This window comes from Homo sapiens, chromosome 3, assembly GCF_000001405.40.
Source record: "Homo sapiens chromosome 3, GRCh38.p14 Primary Assembly".
Classification (NCBI taxonomy): domain Eukaryota; kingdom Metazoa; phylum Chordata; class Mammalia; order Primates; family Hominidae; genus Homo; species Homo sapiens.
Genome location: NC_000003.12, coordinates 100,021,031 through 100,042,953, shown reverse-complemented (window position 1 = coordinate 100,042,953; position 21,923 = coordinate 100,021,031). Strand labels below are relative to the sequence as shown.

The following is a 21,923-nucleotide window of genomic DNA, read 5'->3' as shown; positions in this document are numbered from 1 at the left end:
TGTAGGACTTTACATTTTTCCATGATGAATGTGGACTTGTTACATTTGCCCTAGTTGTCAAGGTCTGGGAACTTTGGCTCTATTCCTCTCCTTCAATCCATTTTTTTCTTGAACTGTCCCAGCTTCCCGTAAGAAGTACTCGATTGTTAGGAACTTTAAAACGTGTATTTCTCATGTTGTTGTCCCTTTGTGTGGAAGAAATGGTTATAGCAACTGGGTTATCAGCTATGTGGCAAAAGAAAAGAAAAAAAACCTGTTCTCTATTCCTCCCTCATGTTCTCCATAAAAGGCAATAAAATTCTTCAGTAAATACAGTATCATCTGGCATGGTTGGAATTGTTCTAATTATGTACTCTGGTTAACAATGTCTGAACCATACATGGATTACCAATTTCCAAAGAATTAAAATAAAATACACTTGGTAATAAAATAATACAAGAGCCTGATATGATTTGTCTCTGATTAGTCAAAAGGTGCACAAAGATCTTGTAGCACCGTGAATCACAGTTTAGAGAATTTTATTACATGATGGTGCTCACAGGCTAGCTGACGAAACATCAGATAACAGATTTCACTGTATCTGGTATTGGCTGGTCACAGAGCCAATGTTTTTTTGTTACTGGCTGGTCTTCTTATTAGAATACAAAAAAAAATCAAGTTTATATTGACATTTACAGCACTAAGCTCTGTGACTGGATCATTCTGTTTGTTTAAGAGGAATCTTACAAGCTTGTGGGCTTTAAAAAATTTCAGTGGCTATTGTTTTCATCTACTGCCACAATTTTTGCCCTTTGTAGATCCTTTAATATGTAATAATGACTACATTTAAAGGTCAAATTCCAGAATTTCTATTAATATGACAATGTTTTAGGGATGGATTACGATCCAGAGCTTATGGCAAAATAAAGAGAAAGGGGAGCAGAAGGGGGCATATATGAAATAAAAAGGGACTCAGATCATATAGCTGAAGAAAGAGGAAGGAATGGCAATGGTCCCTGTTCTCACTGTTCCTGAGGTGCAGCCTGTGCCTTTCTATCCTAGTTTTCAGCTGTCATTATTTTTTTAAATCAAATTGTAGTTGGGGTCAGCATGTGATATACTTTCATGTTGAAAGAAGAAAAAGGTGAGATAAATCAAGGCACAACATGAGTTATCCTTTCTCCTGAATTTTACTGTTTAAAAGATCTCTGGTAGGTCTAAAACCATGCTACATAGACATAAAATACCTCCATTTCACTCATAGCCAGGATATCTGCACTTATCCCCCTTCCCCAAACCAAATACATACAAGTAATTCTATTTTCTTGGTAAGGCAATTGTTGATTAATGAATCATCTTTCCTGTAATTTTTATTTTTATTTTTTTTGTAGCCTTAGTTTGGCTAAGTTCCCTGGCATTCCTGTTGAAGTGTGTAATGGAAAATTTGACCTCACATTCTTTGCTTTTTTGTAACATCACAAAACACTGATATAACAGGGCTACTAAAAAGTAGCTTGGAGATGAAGGGATGCACATAAAGAAAAAGCTCAGTGTGGAAAGGAACAAAGACGCAGTAAATCATGTGGAAGGTAAATATTTAGCTTCACAGACCTGAAGTTACATTCATCTTCAAGTGCTTACAGCTTAGGATGTCATAGAGTTTCCATCATAATTTTGCTTTTCTAAAGAGATTACAAACCAGCCATAAAAAGCCATTCTCAAAATTAACTTGGAACACAGGTAGGCCATTTTGTAGATTCCATAGCTTGTTTGAAAAATGGTGATTTAGGGTGGGGCAGGCAGAAGAAAGGTGTCAGGAAGTGATTTCTTGCATTTAGCTATATCTGAGCTGAAATAAAACTTTGGCAGTCACCCTTCTGTGATCACATCCAACTGTCTAAGGAAAATGTAACAGGTCATACAGAGTCAACTTTGGTTAACTGTAAAGCGTGGGATTTGGCAGCAAAGACATACTTCAGGACAGATTTTTCAGCAAAATTCATAGTGGAATACATGAACTCGTTATAAAAACCTTTTTCTTTTTAAAATGAGACTCTCTTCCCTAAGGCAAAGAAACCATTTTTTCAAATGCATAATCCAGGCTCAAGGGACATCTACCCAGCCACTGACAAAGTTTCTCCCTTTGCAGCCCTAATGATCCTACAACCTGAGAAAATGTCAACTTGGCTGTGATGGGAAAAGAGTCCCACATGGCTCCCAGCACCACCCTCTCAAAATGTCACAACCTCTTGGCATAGGACATCCTGTTCAGCCTGTAATAGTCATTCAAATGAAGTGTTTCATGATAACAACACTGGCTTATGTGTGTATTGTCAACCAAGACCGTCCTAAAGGCTGTCAGAATGCATATATAAGGGCCTGTTCAGTCTATTAATCATCTAGATGTGCTGAAAAAAGGAAGGGGGGAAAAAGCAGATGCAGAGAAGTCTGTACAAATCACTACTAGTTACTCAGGCTGCTGGGAAAATGTGCAGATGTTTCTTGATGCTACCTAAACTGTTTCTAAAACCACGGTCACATCTGTGTACTCATCTATATTAAAATGGAATGCTATTATCTGGAACTATACAAATGATTCTCGGGGAGAGAACTTTAATATACTGTTTATGGCCTGGATAAATAGTATTTATTTGAATAATTAATACTTTTTTTAAAAGAGGGAGTTAGATGAGAATTATGCAAATGAAATATGCAAATAAGCCACAAGAGAGAACTCTTTGTTTAATCTTATGTTGTAAGTGGTAAGAGATGGTTACCTGTTCCAGAGATTGTCTTAGGTTCCTACTTCTCACTGGCTTTTGTGGGTGCAGGAAGAAAAAAAAATATTCAGACAGCTTGGATTGATTCATGTATCCAATTATAAAATGCAGGTAGATAGATCAAGAAAGTTGTTAACTATGAGGCCAGGCACGGTGGCTCATGCCTGTAATCCCAGCATTTTGGAAGGCCAAGGTGGGCGGATGATGAGGTCAAGAGATCGAGACCATCCTGGCTAACACAGTGAAACCCCATCTCTACTAAAAATACAAAAAATTAGCCGGGCATGGTGGCGGGCGTCTGTAGTCCCAGCTACTCGGGAGGCTGAGGCAGGAGAATGGTGTGAACCTGGGAGGTGGAGGTTGCAGTGAGCCGAGATCATGCCACTGCACTCCAGCCTGGGCAACAGAACAAGACTCCATCTCAAAAAAAAAAAAAAAGAAGAAAGTCGTTAACTGTGAAGAAAACCACTGGGGGGAATTACCACATGCCATTTAATATCTAATTTAAGGGAAGCACTGAGATCTTGGATGAAAAATTACTTGGTGATATACTGAAATATCAACTCTAGGGACAATGCTTTTCTAGATTCTTCTGGATTCCTAAAAATTTCCTAGATCTTATTTGGTATCTGGCTTTTCCAAGGTACTCCTGGTATCCCGCATATTATAAGACTGAATCTTACACTATCTAATTTGAAATAAATTTTACTGTTTTCCTTTCCATTAAGTATTAAACCAAGTTGGTATTTTTGTAGAACTCCACTGAAATCTTTATACTGTGAAATCTTTATACTACATACTGTGAAATATAATCATAGATTATATTTCATCTGCTCTTTGATATTCCTGTAGCAGGTGAGTCTTGGCTGTACTTCTTATGTACTTCATAGGCTGTACTACTGTGATCAAGAACACTTAGAAAAGGTTGCTCAGTTTTTTGAGGTCAAGTTAATAAGTAAAGCAGACTAACTGAATTAGATAAAATGCATAATGGTTTTCACCACTACAGTGAAAGGTCTGGGAATGTCTCTGTGTTTGATGAACTATTATTAGATGATGATAATTTCAATACCAATACAACACTGGTGAAAGCATAATTTCCTATTCTTTTTATAAGCATTAAATTTAGGAGTTTTTCCAACATCTGTTATTGCTGAATTAATGCAAAATTATTGTCTCCCAACACAAAATTCTTATTTCCTTAGGCAAGCAATATTGTGTGTGCATTTTTCAAAGACGTTTTATACATATGCAGACAAACATGTACGTTCATTCTTTCTTCTTTTTATTACATGCAAAAGGTAGCATACGATATAGACAATATGTTCTGTACTGTGCCTTTTGGACTTAACAATACATCTGGGAGATCCTGCTGTATCAGTACATAAGGAGCAGCTGGGCACCGTGGCTTGGCACCTGTAATCTCAGCTACTTGGGAGGCTGAGGTGGGAGGATCGCTTGAGCCCAGGAGTTTGAGGCTACTATGTAGGACATGGACTGAGATCGTGTCCTTTAAAAAGAAAGAAACAAACAAAACCCATAAATAGCTTTCCAGTTTTTGTTATGGAAGCATAGTATTGGATAAATGAATAATCCTATTTACTTCCAGTCCCTACAAAAGTACATTTAGGTTATTTCCAATCTTTTGCAATTACAATGTTTGTTAATTTTGAAATTAAACCGAACAGTCAATAAGAAACTACAACTGACTGAGTAGTATTGCCTGTTTCCGCTCCCTACTCGAATTCTCTATAAGCAAAAAAATGGTGAAAAAAGAAATAATTTGGCTAATCAGCTTTTGGATAATTCAATATCTTATTTTTCTATCTGTTGCCAGTTAAGCAATTTTTTTTGGATGGGCTCAAAATAATAGACTCATTACTTCATTACTTTTCTTATTATTTCTGTAAGAGTTATATTTTAATGAGAAGAAAAGAGAGGCCGGGCGTGGTGGCTCACGCCTGTAATCACAGCACTTTGGGAGGCCAGGGCAGCTGGATCACCTGAAGTCAGGAGTTCAAGACCAGCCTGGCCAGTATGGTGAAACTCTGTCTCTACTAAAAATACAAAAATTAGCTGGACATGGTGGCAGGTGCCTGTAATCCCAGCTACTCGGGAGGCTGAGGCAAGGAGAATTGCTTGAACCCAGGAGGCAGAGGTTGCAGTGAGCCGAGATTGTGCCACTGCACTCCACCTGGGCGACAGAGCGAGATTTGAGACTCTGTTCCCTCCCCCCCCAAAAAAAAAAAAAAAAAGAAAAGCGATTAAAAAGGAAAACCTAAGCGATTCAGAGCCAGTTAGTGTGGCTGTAAAGCTACTCAGGTAATTGTGAGGAAGAAATTAGTAGAGCTTTAGTTTTTTAAAGGTCTTAATCTGTACTGGAGGTCAAGTTATCATCACTGTCATTTTCCTCAAAAACATTTAAACATTCACTTATACACAGCTTTATGCAATGAGCTTCCCAAAGCAAGCAAGATGCATAGAGAAACTTATCAGGACAGAGCTAAAACAAATGTAGGTGTGCCTCAATTTACAGAAGGGGATATGGGACACTATTTCTATGTTATTTATACATTTTATGATTTGAACATAAAGATTGCTAAAAGGATTTCTGTAGCAACTTTGTTGGGAGACAAAAATTTTGTATTCCTCAGTTTATCTTAGGGTATGATTTTCAGATTTCTATATGTTGCGCTGGCTTTATTTAAAGTGAAGATAACAATGTGCGTGTGTGTGTGTGTGTCTGTTTGCTTTGTTTTAATCTTTTGTTAAATTTTAAAATAACTTCAAACTTAAAATTTGCAAGAATACTACAAAAAATCTTTTACCCTTCACCCATATTCACCAGTTATTAAAATTTTTACCACTTTTGCATTTTATTCTCTTTCTACATATACACACATTTGTTTTTCTAAACCATCTGAGTAAGTTGCAGACATCATGTCCCTTTGCCTCTAAATATTACAATGTATTTTCCTAAGAATAAAGAAATTCACTTACTCCACAATGATCAAAATCAGGAAATGTATATAAGCACAACATTATGTTTCATCCCCACATTTTATTCAAATTTTACCAATTGTCCCAATACTGTTCTGTTTGCATTTCCTCCCCCGATCCAGGATCCAAATGAAAGAACCCACACATTTAGTTTTTATGTCTCTTTGGTTTCTTTTAATCTGAAATGGCTCAGCTTTATTTATGTGTTTCAGGATACTAACATTTTTGAAGAGTATCTTTTAGTTTAGGTTTGTCTGATATTTCCTTAATATTAAATTAATTATGCATATTTGGGGCAGGAATACCACAGAAATAACGTATCTTTCTCACTGCGTAATATCAAGAAGCACAAGATGTCAATTTGTTCTACTATTGATGATGGTAACTTTGATCACTTGGTTAAAGTGTCACTACCAGGCTTCTCTACTCCAAAACTACTATTTCCCATGATTATTAATAAGTAATTTGTGGAAAATTCTTTGAGATATGTAAATATCCTGTTCCTCACTGAACTTTTAAAAAATTGTTTCAGCAGCCATTGATACTTCTTAACTATTTGCAACTATGATGGCTGCAAAATGGTGGTTTTCTAATCTATATTTCTTCTACATTTATTAGTAGGCATTCTACTGTAAAGAATAACTTTTCTTTCTTACACATGTAGTATCTACCTATTATCACCATGAACAAACTCATGAATTCTTATTTTATTCAATGGGTCACCTTCCATTTTATAATTATTTCGCTCTTCAGGTTGTTTCAGATTAGGCCAGTGGCAGTCCTTTCAAGCCAACTCTGGTGTCCTTTTGACATGTCCTCATCATTTTTTGAGACTTCCTAACATCGTGGCATGAAAAGATGTTCCAGGCTCATCTTTTTTTTCCTCCAACAGCCCTGCAGTCAGCTACTTCTCCAAGAAGGCTTTGTTCCTCTTAGTGGGAAATGAGATGTAGAAGCTTTATGTGTTGCATGTGTTCATTGCTACAAGGTGTCATTGATTCTAGACCTTTTTAGTTGACAGAGCTAGGAAATTTTTCATGCCTTAGAAGACCTTCCTAAAAGTGGATTTAGGAACTACTATACCATAATTCCTTTTATATTAAGTTTATGCAATGTATAGAGATGGTACAGGGGTTTTTAGTTTTGGGTTCTATGTTACAATGGACTTATAATTACACTGACTACTAGTAAACATTATTATCCCAGAAGAATCTGATGAGATCCCTGAGAATAAGGACTATGTCTCATTCATCTTTTTATCCTCAGAGCCCAACAAAGTTCAAATCACATAATAGACCATCCATAGAAATTACATGTATGTGATTTGCTTTCAAAGAATCCAATGTGGGGGAAAGGAATAAAGATGTAACAAAGTTGGCCATGAGTTGATGACTGCTATAGCTCGTGATGAGCACATGGGGATTCTTTCTTTTCCATTTCTCTCTACATTTGAATTTTTCTATTACAATAAAATAAATTTAAAGGTAATCAAGAAATACCCCTATATCAGAATGATAAAAGTTTCTGCCTCTTCTATGGTTCAATTTCTTTAACAGTTTGGTGGGGTGAAAAAGGTCAAAGTGTTTGATTACTGGGAACCAGAGGGCATTAAAAAATTCAAGTAAATAATTCAGCTGTGTGCAGTGTCTCACGCCTGTAATTGCAGCACTTTGGGAGGCTGAGGCGGGTGGATCAGGAGTTCGAGACCAGCCTGGCCAACATGGTGAAACCCTGTCTCTACTAAAAATACCAAATTAGCTGGGCGTGGTGGCATGCGCCTGTAGTCCCAGCTACTCCGGAGGCTGAGGCAGGAGAATTGCTTGAACCCAGGAGGCGGGGGTTGCAGTGAGCCAAGATTGTGCCATTGAACTCCAGCCTGGGTGACAGAGTGAGACTGTGTCTCAAATAATAATAATAATACTAATAATTTAAGGAGGAATATGCGCACAGCATGGACATTCATTTATGAATTTAATTGTTTAAAATACATTTGGTTCAAGGGACTTGAAAATGTAGATGGCTTTCATCATCAAATTGCTAATAATCCTAGAAAGCACAAACTTGAAACACATACAATTTGGATAACAATTTCGAATATACATTTATGATAACAGATCAACCCTAAAAAATAACATAAGATAAACAGGTCTTCAAGCTATCTGGAGAGAACCCCCTAGCATTTTGCTGACTACATGGAGATAGCAAAATGGCTTTTTTCTTGACATCCCAAGTTGTTTTTTGATACTTAAACAACTGATAGTCAAAACATTAAAATAGGAAAGTGGACTACTGCAGTGATTGAGATATTCTACTGAGAAAAAACACCACAAACAAATATATTCGTATGTATATACCGTTTACTGATCAGAGTGGATATTCTCCTAAGGCTGCATATTTCATAGAAAGTCTAGGTTTAAAGCATGCCCCTCCTTCCCATTAGGAAAACTGACACTAATATTCTTTATCAACATTATTTCAAGCAGGTGTACTTTGAACTCTGAGGGTTCCCCATCATAAATCTAAACTCACTGTCTTACCTAAATACTAGACATTTGCTATCAGATTAAAAGTGTCTGCTTAGTTTTACTGATAAGGAAGCATGTTTAAATGACCAAAAGCAGCCAATTCAGATGGGATTTGAGGCCCCAAATAATTTCCTCTATTATTTAGGCAACACAAAGAACCTTTTGGATTACTGGAACGAAGTGGCTACCTTTTAACCAATGTTGATTCAAAAAGTGCATTCCTTACTAAAGCCAGTGTGAAAATGCTAGTGAATTCTTTCCATTACATCTGGCCATAATCAGAATGCTAACATTCTGCAGCCTGCACATTGTAAATAAATACAGACCAAATAACTTCTTACTGCTGCCATGAGTGTACATTTTCTCCAGACAATAAGTGGTACATTAGCACATATTTGTCCCCTGGCTGCAGCTTTTTCCCCCCATTCTGAGTTCCTGGATATACTTTTGAGACAGTCTAGAAAAACCAGTCTTGTGCTACACAGAGATCAGGAACTTTCCCCACAATGGAATTTAGTGTCCATAATCACCAACATCCAGTCTTGTCAATTTCAATGGATGATGATGCAAATTACTTCTTTTCTTAAGTGTATTAACGGGTCACTAATGTAAGCAAAATAACGCATGGCGGGTTGAATAATAGCACCATGTTTCTTCAATCAAATAACCATACTGTGTGTCTGGTTGTGGTTTCAAAGAAATCTGGATTAAATAATATGATTCATATATAAAAAGGCTGGCTAAGAACTGGATTTTGGTACTGCTCAGTTATACATAAAACAGTCACTTTTGTACTAGATGTTCACTTAGGAAAATAATATTGTTTCCTCTGAGACAGGTATACTGGATACTTGACCTCTAAATCCTAAAAACAATTCATGGAAAGAATAAAATTTAGAGGAGCAAGAACAGGGCTGAGTCACCACATATTTTCAATATATCAGGTTTTTTTTTAAAATCAATTCTGAATTGTCAAAGAGGCACTTTCTGAACTTATTAAGCTTTTTAATTTCCTACTGACCATTTAAAAAGCTCCCGTCCTAATATCTGCTTTTCAGGCTACTTTCCAGGGTAAGAATTTAAGAGTGCAGTTGAGGGGCAGTACATGATTTGGTGCAGGCAAGTTAACACAGAGTCCAACTTTAAGAATCCTGGTCTTGAAGACAGTGTTTGCTTAAGTTTTACAATGTTACAAACATTAGTCAAGACCTTCAAGAAGATAACACAAAGCTCTAGGAGCTGTGATTTTCAAAGGGGATTTGGGAATGAGGGTTTGATGGAAGCCTTCCAGAGCTGCAGCTGCTGAGCTTGTGGGTTTTCCATTGGCTGCCACTCGATAGAGGTGAGGCAGGAGGAAGAATTCTTTGAGGGCAAGTTCAGACAGTGAATAGTTCAAGGATGCAGCCTGCCTGGAAATTGCAAGCAGTCAATGGACACATAAACCACAAATGTTACAAGGCACAATTAGTTTGATTTTTTCTAAGGTTTTAAGGGGCCAAAATAATTCCATTACCATACAGTAACCACAGAGTAAAATTAATATTTATAAAGTAATGCTATCCAGCAATATAGTTGAAGATAGTTTTCCTGAATTCTTTTTTTTTTTTGGTTACCATGTCTCATCAATGGTAACAGTAGAGTGGAAACCACACTAACTTTCATGTGAGGGGGATATGGATTGCAGTTTGGCCCTGGTACTTGGTGTTTGTGTGACTGAACTTCAGCATCATTTTCAACAGGAGAATAATACCTACCTTGCAGGCTTGTTGCAGGGAATAAATGTAATAATGTATGTTAGGTGGCAGCAAATAGTAGCAGCTCAAAAAATAGTTAATTATGTTATCATTGTCATAAGTGTCATAATTAATGGTCCTTTGTTACACACAACTGCATTACCATTTATGCAATTGTTATAAGTGAGTTACCTACAAAGCAACAAAAGCTGTATTCAACTGCCCATAAATTATTCATACTATTTTAAAAAATGTTTCTTTATGGTTTTACATTTACAGGTTCTTTTTATTTTAAAGTTCGTCAATATAGCCTTTATGTCAAAAAATAGAGATTTTTATGTGTTCTTGTGATACAAAATGCATTTTCTGTGAGCTTTACAATGTTATGAATCAGTTTTTGCGAAAGGGGAATTCGGCTAGCTGTCTCCTCTCTGCCTCAGACAGACTTCACAATGATTCACAGATAACAGAAACCACCAGCTGCCATTCCGAATAAAATGTTCTGTTGGCTCTGCATACCTTATGGCAAGCTCTAAGTCACATGTCCTCTTCTTATTTCCACTTTTCTTCTCTAAAGCCAGCTATAACCTGCATTTCATAAATCTTAAGAGAGTAAATCAAAATAACCAATCTGGAATTTGACCTAGTACCAACTAAGATTACCTAAAACAGAATCAAGGGCCAACGCATCCATCTGCTCTCTCTGAAAGAGGCATACATATCAATAATTTCCTCTACCACATTTAAATAATTGTCTTTCAAGTATCATATTTTACTCCATGTTTTAACACCTACAATCTTCCTCATGTTTCATTATTTATTCCCATAGGGCAGGGTTTAGCAAACTATGGCTAATGGGCTAGATCTGGTCTGTAGCCTGTCTTTATATAATCTGAAAGCATAATTTTTACATTTTTAAACAGCTGAAAAAATTAAAAATTAGGATTTTTCATGATGCATGAAAAATACATAAAATTCAAATTTAACTGTCCAAAATATAGTTTTATGGAAACACAGCCATGCTCATTAATTTATGTATTGTCTTTGGCTGATTTTGACCTAGTTTAGTAGTTACTACACAGACCATATGGCCAGCAAGGCCTAAAATATTTCCTATTTTTGCTTTTACAAAAAAGTCTGTTGACACTGCCCTAGTGGGGTGTTTCCCTTTGGAGAAAGTGAGGCAAATAAACGTAAAATACAAGGTCCTCCCTCCCTGTCTTTGCCTTCTTGTCGTAGATCCTCAGCCTTAGAAGGAAAATTGGCTTAGCTTGACTTTTCCTTGAGGGGAGAGAATGCGTTAGTTAAAAAAAAAGAACACAGGAGGAGCCAAGGGATGCGGGTCTCAGGTCTTGTTTGGGTGTTGGGTTTTTATGCTCAGTTTGGACAATTACTTTTCTAGTTCTGTAACGTGGCTTCTTCCTTGTTGCGCTCTGAATTTCCTTTATATTTGAAAAAAGGAATCCTTCACTCACTTACTAGATCACCATGATGATAATGTGAACCCTACCACCAACTCCTTCCTCACTCCACTTCCCAAATCAATCCAGGATGAGTGGAAACGAGGGTAACAGGAACTTTGGAAACATTTCTATTGGACTGCTAGATGAAAGTTTAAAACCTACTGTTTTAAACCTATGGAGATAGGCCTCCATTGTGACCACATAACTAATACAATGAATAGCTCATCCTGATTTCCACTAGAGAATGGGGTACTTTGGGCATATGAGACTGAATCACTTGTTTTCTGGAAATTCCCTATTATAAATATGACATTTAAGTACATAGTCTAAAAATGCTGATGTCTAGGAAAATATGTTCTAAATTATAGCAGAAAAAAATAGAATCTGACAGCTGGACAAAGGAATAAAGGCAGAATGGGCAAAGATCATTTTATGTTAGGAAGAGAGTAACAGAGATGTTTATATTCACACAGATATTATCAGGTGGTAAATATATTTCTCATCAGACTTCATATCTCATAGATTTTATATTATAATGCAAATCTATATATTTTTCATTCTTAAGCCAAGAATATCTATATAGTTGCACAGTAAAGAAAATTTTACCACAGTGCACTTTAAAAACCACTTATACCTTATTAGGTTATAAATTGACCAAAGCTTTTGCCATACCACATCCTTGCTACAGGGAGGGAAAACGGATTGATTTCACTGCACCAATCTCCCTTTTGCTAACTATATAGCTGATTTGTGTTTATATGGTAGAGGAAAAGCAGCAGTTATTGGATACTGGTTTAATGTAGAAGGTTAAATTAGTTGTGGGGACAATGATTACTCATGATTCCAAATGGTGAACTGAACTTGGAGTCTTAGCCTGCTTTTTTAGTCACACTGCATTACTAAGCAACTTTGGAACAGGTGCTCTCAACGGGAAAACAGGTTCTGAGAAAAGACTAGAGTAGATGAGACATGCATGAATGAGAATGAGCAATAATGCCTTAAGTAGGGAGGACGAATCATTACCCTATTACAAATATGATGAAAATTATCAATACTCATTACAATTAGAGTTGGAAAAGCTCTTAGAGGACAATGAGTCCAAGTTTCTTTCATGGAAAACCAACACGCATGCCAGGGAGCCACTGTCTAGTTTTGGCCTGATCACTGACTTCTGGTGGCATAGATCCCTTTCTCATCCAAGCCAGCTCTTTTCCTTTTGGTACAACTCCAATACTATACAGTCAAAATGCCCAAAAAGAGTAGAGAAAATAATATTAAACTAGAAAATAGGAGTTCCAAATTCCAATTTCAGTCCTATGGTTAACTCTAGTTGTGTGACTTTAGGCAAGTGTTTGGTGCTCGTTGGGTCTCCGTTTCCTTATCTGTAAAACAAGGGTTTTAAGGTCCTTTCCAGTTCTGATTTTCTTCATTTCTATACTTTCCATTCCATGCTAGAGAAATGTGAAGCAGTTGTGAGAAAGTTACAAACAGCTGTGAAGTTTTTCTTCTTAGAGTCCTCACTCATGTCACACCTGGGCTGCTTCTAAACGTTCCAAGATCTCTTGGTCTTTATCTCAGCTTTCCAGATGACATATAGTTTGATTTTATTTTGACTGTTGACATCTCCTAGAATGTTATCATGACTCAGAATCTGCCCTTTTGGTCACTATATAGCGTAGTGACAGGCTCAGCTACAAAAGCCCTCTTAGTAGCAGTTTGTCTAGCAGAATTTTGAAGTTGCTGGTTTTTATTTTAAAAAAGAAACCATCAGAAATGTTGTACTGTTCTCACACACTTAAGTCTTATTCTATCTTCTATGGAATGTCAGTAAACTGCTCAGTATTTGCTTTTTTATTTTAGTGATTAGACTATTTAGGCTGGAATAAACCTTAAGCTCAAAGAAAAGCTATGTCTTTAATAAACTCCAATTAATGCACACTGGTATGGTCTATGTATATATAGGCTATATTTTTAGAAACAAAACCACTATTTAATGTGATAGTAACTTGGCAAAGGTTGCAAATGCAACAGTAAAATGAATGACTATTTAGCTTTTTATTTATGTAACTAAAGTGGATACAATTAAGAAGACTGTGCCTAGGGGACTTGACTTTATTGAACAATTATCATAATCAAAATCAATAGTGTTATGTGACTAAAACAAAGCTTTTCTGTACAAATAAGTAAATTTATTTTTGTAATATATTTTAAAATTAATTTTAATATTTTATTTATACATGTGAAAATAAAAAATAATTCTTTTTAGACAAATAAATCTGAAAAATTTTTAAAGTTTTTATTTACTTATTTTTTAAAGACGAGGTCTTGCTATGTTGCCCAGGCTGGCTTGGAACTCCTGAGCTCAAGCAATCCTTCTGCCTCAGCTCCCAGGGTAGCTTGGGACAATAGGCATGCACCACCATTCCAGGCTCAAAAAAATTTTTTTTAAAGAAAAATAATTGAATTGAGTTTAGGTGCTCAAGTAACTGCTCAAGTAACGGACTGACGAGCTTGTAAAACATCAACAGGATATATATGTATATGTTTATGTTTATATGTGTGTGTGTGTCTTTGTGTGTGTTACACACCTCAGTAAAAAGGTGTATTGAAACACATCACCATTGAATAGTTCACAGTAATGAGTTTGGAGTCTAGTACAGTTGGTGTGATAGCTTATCAGAGTCAACTCTTCTTAAGAAAACAAGAACTGACTCTTGGAAATGTGCTATTATCATTGACAAGGAACTAGAGATTATTTTCTAACTGGATAAATTATCATAAATACTTCCATCAATGGAAAAAAATGCTATTCCATTATTGTCTCTTTTAGCCTTATATTTATAATTTACATGTATTTATTAAGTGCCTACTAGGTAAATACATATTATTTTTAAAAAATAATGAAAAATTTTGTAATTAGTAATAAAATATATTACCTCAGTCTTTGCTAAGGCCTATTCTCCAACGTGAATTAAATCATACTCCATCTGTAAGAATGAATATTAAACTTACAAGGAACAACAGAAAAACCACCTTAGCAGAAAGGCCAAACAACCACCAGCTGTTGCCTGGAATATAGCAATAACCTCCTAAATGCTTATCTTGAATCCAGTACTGGAAGAAGAGTCAAAAGTAGTAAAGGTTAAGGGCTAAGTAAGAACAAAGGCTGAAAAATGACAGCCTGGGTTTGATAGGTTAGCTGTGTGACTTCAGGCAAATTACTTAGCTTCAGTGTGTCTGAGTTTCCTCATCTGCAAAACTGGGATAATGATATCATTTAACTCAATGGAATGATGTAAGAATTAACTAAAATAATCTGTATAAAGCAATTAGCATGCTGCCTGGCATTAGTGTTTAATAAATGTTAGTTGCATTTGCTTTGTCATTATTATTATTCGTCTCCTAAATTCCCAGAATAGCCAGAGTAAAATTTAATCAATATAAATCCAACCCCATCATTTCAGTACTTAGAAATTCTTTAACAGCTTCCCATTGGACCTAACAACAGCATTCAAACTCCTTACCATGGTCTGCAAGATTTGGCCCTGTCTACTCTCCAACATCTTTTCTGACCACTTTCCCTCTCACTCCCAACTCTAGTTTCACTTGTTCTCTTCCTAAGCATCATGGGTATTTTTACACCTGTCTTTACACATGCTTTTCCCTCTGAGATAATCTTCCTCTGACTTATTGCTTGCCCAGTTCTAAACTCTGTGTTGCAGAAAGCAAGTCAAACTGTTCAAATGTGTGCTACCTTCAGAGATTTGAAAGTTCACTCAGGAGGCTGAAATAATTCACACAACATTTTCCATATTCTAAACAGCAATACCTTGGGAAAAACAATGTTGAGGCACAAAACAATAAGCATGTATCGAAGTTGAGCAGGGTGGAAGTAGGAGGGTACATGTGGGAATGGAAGGGAAGAACTCATCTGTGGTTTCCTGAGCAGGGCAGGCATCATGATGCATTCATAAAGTCTGTTCCCAAGCTACAAGGAGCTGCTGGAGAAGCACTCATTCTTCTTTTTGACTCTAGGCCAAAAGAAGTACAGCCCAGGTTTGGCCTATTGAAGAGTTTTATTTGGCCCAAAGTTAAAAAAATTGTTTTTAAGATTCATTCATTCATCAAACATTTATTGAACACCTACCATGTGTGAGGCTCATTTCCAGATGTAAACAGCAGTGAACAAATACACAAAATCATATAAAGTCCCTATCCACGTGGAATCTACATTCTAGTGCAGAAAACAGGTAATAAAAAATTGATGGAGTGTACTAGACCATATGTGATAAGGAGAAACAAAAAGCAGAGAAGGTGGAGAGGAAGGATGTGTGTATTCATGTGTGTAAGTTTAGATAGCGTGTCCAAGGCAGGTTTCACTGAGAAGATGACATTTAAGCAAAGGGATGCAGGGGATGAATGGGCCGTAGAGATACCTGGAAAAATAGGGAACAGCAAGGACAAAGGTCACAAGGAGGAAATGAGCTGGCATATGTGAGGAACAGACAGGAGGCCAATGTAGCTGCAGAGATGAGGTCGGAGAGTCTTATGGGTTATTGGGAGGATCTTGGCTTTCATGCTGAGTAAGATGCGGAGACTTTGGAGGATTGTGGGCAGTGGGGCGATGTGATCTGACTTACAGTTCTGGCTGCAGGAGAGAAAGAATGGAAGCAGTGAGACCAGTTAGGAGGCTACTGCAACAATCTTGGAGAGAGACGGTGGTGGTTTGGACCACAGTAGTGCAACAGAAATCCGTAAGAAGTGATCAGATTCTGAATATATTTTGAGGATAGAGCCAACAGGATTTCCTGATGAATTAGATGTGGGTTTTGAAAGGAAGACAGGAGTGAAGGACAACTCCAAGTTTTCTGCTTTGAACAAGTAGAAGAAAAGAGTTGCCAACATTTAAAATCAGGAGATTTAATTTAATAATCCAGACTTCCAGCTCCTCTCAAAATACTGGAAGATCTGGTCAACTACATAACTGCATTTTTCACATGATAAAAAATGAACAGGAGCTGAGAAGCAGTTGCCCCATCGAGACAAGACACTGGCCCTTTGGTTCACTATCGACCTTGCTCCTTGTTTTATGTCTGGCCTTCTGAATAATAAATAGCTGTCCGTGCCTGTCTGTTTCCTGCAGACAGCTTGAGTTTAGGATCCCTGCCCAAAGTTCTACCATATACTCATGGCAGCAAAAATATAACATAAATTTGCCCACAATTTTGACTAAACGAAGGGCATTTTTGACAAAGTATTTTAAAACAGGCCATAAAAAGGATACCTGCTACAGCCTACTCTTCCAGATTTCTCCTCTATGGCAATTTGACAGCATCCTGATACAGAGGTCCAGCCTCGTCCAGCCTCGTGGTAAAAAGAAAAGCTTCTTGAAAAAAACTCCTCTTTCACATATTCTGATTTCATTAAGTCTAAATCCCAAGACTCAGGTCATAGTCTGTGTCCATATTGCCTGGGAGCGAGGTAAGGTACTTGACCATACCAGCTCTAATACCACATCTCACTACACCTGTGCTTTCCAAACAAGGGAGCTCCGAGGCCCAGGCTGGTACCAAGGCAAACTGGCTCTAAGCCTGTGTTATCACCACCAAGCCTGGTAACCGGCAAATTATTTATCTTCCCTGGGCTTACCAACAAAAAATGGAGGTCGACTACAGCAGAGCTTCTCAAACTCTAATGTATATGTGAATCCCCTATTCTAGATGATTATTTAGCTTCACTTACATGAAAATCACTGGCTTAGAATAAAGTGCCTGGTAACAATGTCTCTGTGGACGACCTGGTATGTTTCTCCTCAGCAAACAGAAATAACATGAACCCAAAGACTTGTTTCACTTTGTCTACCAGGAAGCTCAGAGCTAAATGCACTGCTCAATATAACAGCAAAGCCATCTTACCTCAGGGATTCGAGTATAACATCTTTCCCCGTTCCTTCGTATTCATCCTAATGGTTTTGATTTTATTTATCTATTTTAACCCTAGGCAACATCAAATCCTTTCTGAAAGTGGGTGGGGAAGGAAGACAACACTGGAAGGAAGGAAGAGAAGAAGGAAAGTGATTTAAAAAAAATCTTCCCAAGTTGGTATTAGGAAAGTTAGCAAATACGGTTTGTGAATGTGATCAAATAAATACAAACCTAATCATCTGGCTCAAACCCAAAAGCAGTTTTGTTTCAGAGGCCTGTGCCCTTTAGACCAACAAAAATAGCCACAAACAGTATGGGGCTGTGTAGTGGCAAGAAGGACGAGCCCTACTATAGGCATAGGAAAATTCTTCCACTCAGCCTTTCTCTCTTTTAGCTAAGTATGGTCATTGACAGAATTGGGAAATCTTACGGCCTCGATTAACTCCCTACAATAACAAAGAGTCTGTTTTATTATCAGGAAGAATTCAAAGAAAAATGCGTGTTAATTAGTAACACAAAAACTATGGGTAAAGTAAGCATCAAGACAGATATTTTGTGGTAATAAATCAAGCTCGATAAACTTGCATTTTTTACCTTTGGCAGCAGTCAGACAAGCACATTAAAAGCCCAGGATATCAGTCCTGCTCTGGTGCCCTGATAGCTTGAAAGTCAGGATAGCCTGCTTGGCTACGAATGTTTCTGACCTTGGGCAAGCCTTGTAACCACCCTGGACCCCCTCCATAAAATGAAGACAGTGTGGAGAGCACAGATTCAGAAGCCTCCGTAACTGAGCTCCACTTAACCAATTCTATCCCTGTGTTTCAACCAGGACTGAGCCCACACATGCTGAATAAGAGAGGCTAGAAGGTCACTCACTAGTATATCCCATGCATTTCTTCCAACTGTTTAGAGGTGTATTTGTTCTCAAACCTGCCTATGCCTGTTGGATTTGTTACTATAATTACATAATTTAATATGATGTAAACTGGTGAAATATAACCATGAAAGAAAACAGTTGCTTCCTATGAAAGGTACATTGAATAGTCTAAGGAGACCTGATAAAGGCAGGTGACTTAAACTGACTCTCAGGGCAGATGTAAATCAGACAATTGTGGAAGACAGGAAAACAATTTGTAAAAATCTAGAAGGATTCCTTCTACAGTCTGCTCTATAGGGGCCAAAATTTAACAAAATTGAAATGAGAAATCATAGAAAATGCAATCACTAAGGTATAATTAACATGAGAAAAATGTTAGGAAATTGTAATCGGCAAACCTATAATCAAAGAAAAGGCCTTGGCTCTACACCAAGGCTTCTACTGCAATGGGAAAGGGAGTAAGAACCATGGTGAAATATTACAGAGGCCCCATGGCTGTTATTTACAACCAGATGAAATAGGCGACCATGACACTGAAAGACCTTTCCAGGAAGGAGCTGAAGACGGAGTGTGGAAGATGTAGTTAGAGTTGTGGGAGGAAGGGACACACAGACACTACTCTTGATAGTCTGGCATATCCTTGCCAGTCTGTCAGCTGAAGGGGGAGTGAACCCACTTCTACTGAGAATCATAGGTTGGTATTTACTAAGTTCCCAGGAAGTAAAGATTTCTTTAACTGCTAGCATTTTTCTTCTACTCCTCTCTCCCCAGTTTTAAAAATGTTTGCTAAAATTATTTGATGAGTAATACTATATGTTGAGTTTACCTGGGCAATGAGCACTGTGAAGGAGAACATAGTATGCTTTGCTTTCCTGAGAGTAAGACATGCAGAGCAGGAGTAGTTCTAGGTAGAAATACTAGTTTGCAATGGCGAGACCAGGCCTGTAATTTTCTGCAGCATACCATGACATACATCATGGTTTATATGAGGCCAACTCCATAAATCAAGCCTTACCTAATTAGAGATTCTTCTGGAGATCTACATTATTAGAGCAAATAATTAAAACAGCCCAAGCAAAAATAAAAGCCAGATCTGTTTACAAAAATGTTCTCTCCCCCCAAGAAACTGTTTTAGTCTCATACCACTTACAGTTCTTTCACATTTAGTAAATTATAGACTCGGAGCATTTCTTTTTAGTCTGACTTCACTTTCAAGGAATTCTTCAATTAACTTTACGTTGCTTTAAGCTGTTCATCCAACGAGAAAACAATCTGTGGTTTCTGACTCCTTTGTGTGCCAATGGCTGCCATCCATGTTTGACTTTCAGACACACTGTCTCTTGAGAGCCAGGCTCTGTTTGCATAAAACCAGTCAGTTGTCATAGCATTTTGACAAGCACTATGGAAAAACAAAGAACAATACTTCGTGGTGGCTAAACTGGGAGAATTATCTCTGTAAGGGTTACTGCATTGGGGATACACACAACGTCCATCTACACCCAGCCACCTGGTCTGGGCCAGAAGGTAGCACATACTCCACTTTCAGCTGTGATCTTTCCATTCTCAGGCACCATCTCTTTACTACTGATTCATTTCTTTCTCCCTCCCCTCTTTTTCCTAAATGGTTAAAACACCTGAAACTCATGGAGAGGTGTGGCTACTCTAACAGCAGGCAAAAATGTCAGTAGAAATCTAAAAAGCAAGAGATTGCATGGCCTTTGCAATGGTTATGGTGCATCTAGTGTCAGATCTTCAGCCAAATGTAGTGTAATAAAAAAGCATGGCTCAGAGGTGAAACCTCAGTCCAAAACTTTGAATATTCTGACTCTAGTGTAGGACCTCAACTCTCTTTGCCTCTTGAGGCCCATGCACTGATGTTTTTAAATAAGTACAAATAACAACTGGGCAGCAGAAAATAACCATGGGAACAAATGATGGAAACATATGATGACTGCTGAAGAAAAAGAACCTTAGGTTTTCTACCTATCCCAGCTGAGTCAGGCAGAATGGAATCTCCCTCTTTCTTTTCCCCTGTGCTTGGCCAGTTTCTGGGTATCCCTCATCTATGTCCATTCCATGAATGTACTTGTGAAGCCAAAAGAATAATAAACCAAGGGTGTCTGAAACTGTCTTTGAATACTCAGGTCCAATATAAGATATATGTGTGATTTTTCCAAAATCATGCTCAATGCTGTTTCTGTAATGGGATGTGCAATTGTTGAACTGCAGGCCTTTCCAAAGAAATGGAATGAATACTGTAGCAGAGTTGTGCCGTAACAAGCATGAAGGCAGAGACAGTGGAACTAGAATGAATGCACAGGCCAGGTGAAGCCCAAGGGCTGATATTGGACATGGCACTGGCTCAACTTAGGGTGGTGGTGGAGTGGAGGACCAATGGAAGGTCTGCTCCTTTTCTTCAGGACAGAACTGTGTTTGACGTTTGACATCTCTCTCAATGCTACTGCAATTGCATCTGAAGCAAAAAACTTGCAGGATTCCCAAGAGACTCAACATTATTCTAATATCATTTCTTTTCCAAGGGCTTCCCTCTATTTTTATTTAAAATTTTAAAAATCCCTATGTAAATTTTATAATGTGTGTTGGTTACAAGCTACTGCAAATGCTTTATGGAAAAAGGAAATGGGTATAACTATGTCTGTCTTGGTGCCCCCCTCATATCTCTCTCTCTCTCTCTCTCTCTCTCTCTCTCTCACACACACACACACACACACACACACACACACACACACACACACAATGGGATCTAGCATCCAAGCTATTCTAAGAACAGTTTCATAAAGTATCAGCTATTCTTCCTTTAACCAGCAAATCACTGTTCTATTGAATTATAATCTATTCTTTAATCATTTAGGGGATATCTAAAGCACCTAGAAGTTCCTAGAATGCAAGTTAAGGGTAGGCTGAGGAAGGGGAGGTTCCCTTTACAAAGCTTTCACTGGCATCTGAATTTAGATCTTTTGAGATTTTAAAAATATAAGCAACCAAGACACTTGATTTAAAATTCACTGATTTGTTCAAAGTAGTGCTCTATGGAGGGCCAGTGATCTTCTAAAATGGGGTCACAGTACAGACTTTGCTTCAAATTCAAGAGCTCACGATAGCTCCTTTCTTGACTCTGTTCTTTCTGGCACTCAGATTTTTGAAGTAAAACAAAACATTACAGGAATTTTCTCTACAAGGAGACTTCTGAAATTCCGGGAAGGGTTCCTCCTCTCCCAAAGTGTCTTGCTTAATGCTGTGCATCATAAGCTTATTTCTTGAAATAAAAATGCTGAGATGCTGAACTTGGAAGGCAGCAATAAACCAAGGGGGATAAAGTTGAGGGCACAAAAACCTGAGCCTCACTTTTTAACAACTCCAAAGAAGAATGAACTTATTATATATAAGGAGAGCTCTATAGGGTGTCACTAGAAATTCAGCTACTTCCAATGGTTTTGCTTGCATGCCTGGAAAAGCAGTGACACTGGCACAAGTGTGTTCTATGTGAGAGCAGTAAGCTGGGGAATTTTGCGTCAGGATTTGAGGTCTTAGGCAATTGACCGGCCTTGAAAAGTACAGCACACTGGCACTAAGAAAATGCAAAATTAGGCTAGGCGTGGTGGCTCACGCCTGTAATCCTAG

At 37.6% G+C, this 21,923-nt stretch overlaps 2 protein-coding genes and 1 long non-coding RNA gene across 6 annotated transcripts in view; 1 reads left to right on the top strand and 2 right to left on the bottom strand.

Annotated features, from left to right (window-relative positions):
* Positions 1–21,923, bottom strand: part of CMSS1 (cms1 ribosomal small subunit homolog) — a 363,871-nt gene that overhangs the window by 138,779 nt on the left and 203,169 nt on the right. The window lies entirely within an intron of this gene.
* Positions 1–21,923, top strand: part of FILIP1L (filamin A interacting protein 1 like) — a 285,691-nt gene that overhangs the window by 71,548 nt on the left and 192,220 nt on the right. The gene's annotated exons all lie outside the window — the stretch shown is intronic.
* The window catches only part of LOC105374010 (uncharacterized), a 223,532-nt gene continuing 203,169 nt past the window's right edge, over positions 1,561–21,923 (bottom strand). Inside the window, exons 3-5 of the long non-coding RNA NR_189163.1 lie at positions 19,432–19,635; positions 17,396–17,526; positions 1,561–3,179 (exon numbers count right to left, since the gene is read on the bottom strand). This is a non-coding gene — a long non-coding RNA (uncharacterized LOC105374010). The remainder of the gene's footprint in view (positions 3,180–17,395; positions 17,527–19,431; positions 19,636–21,923) is intronic.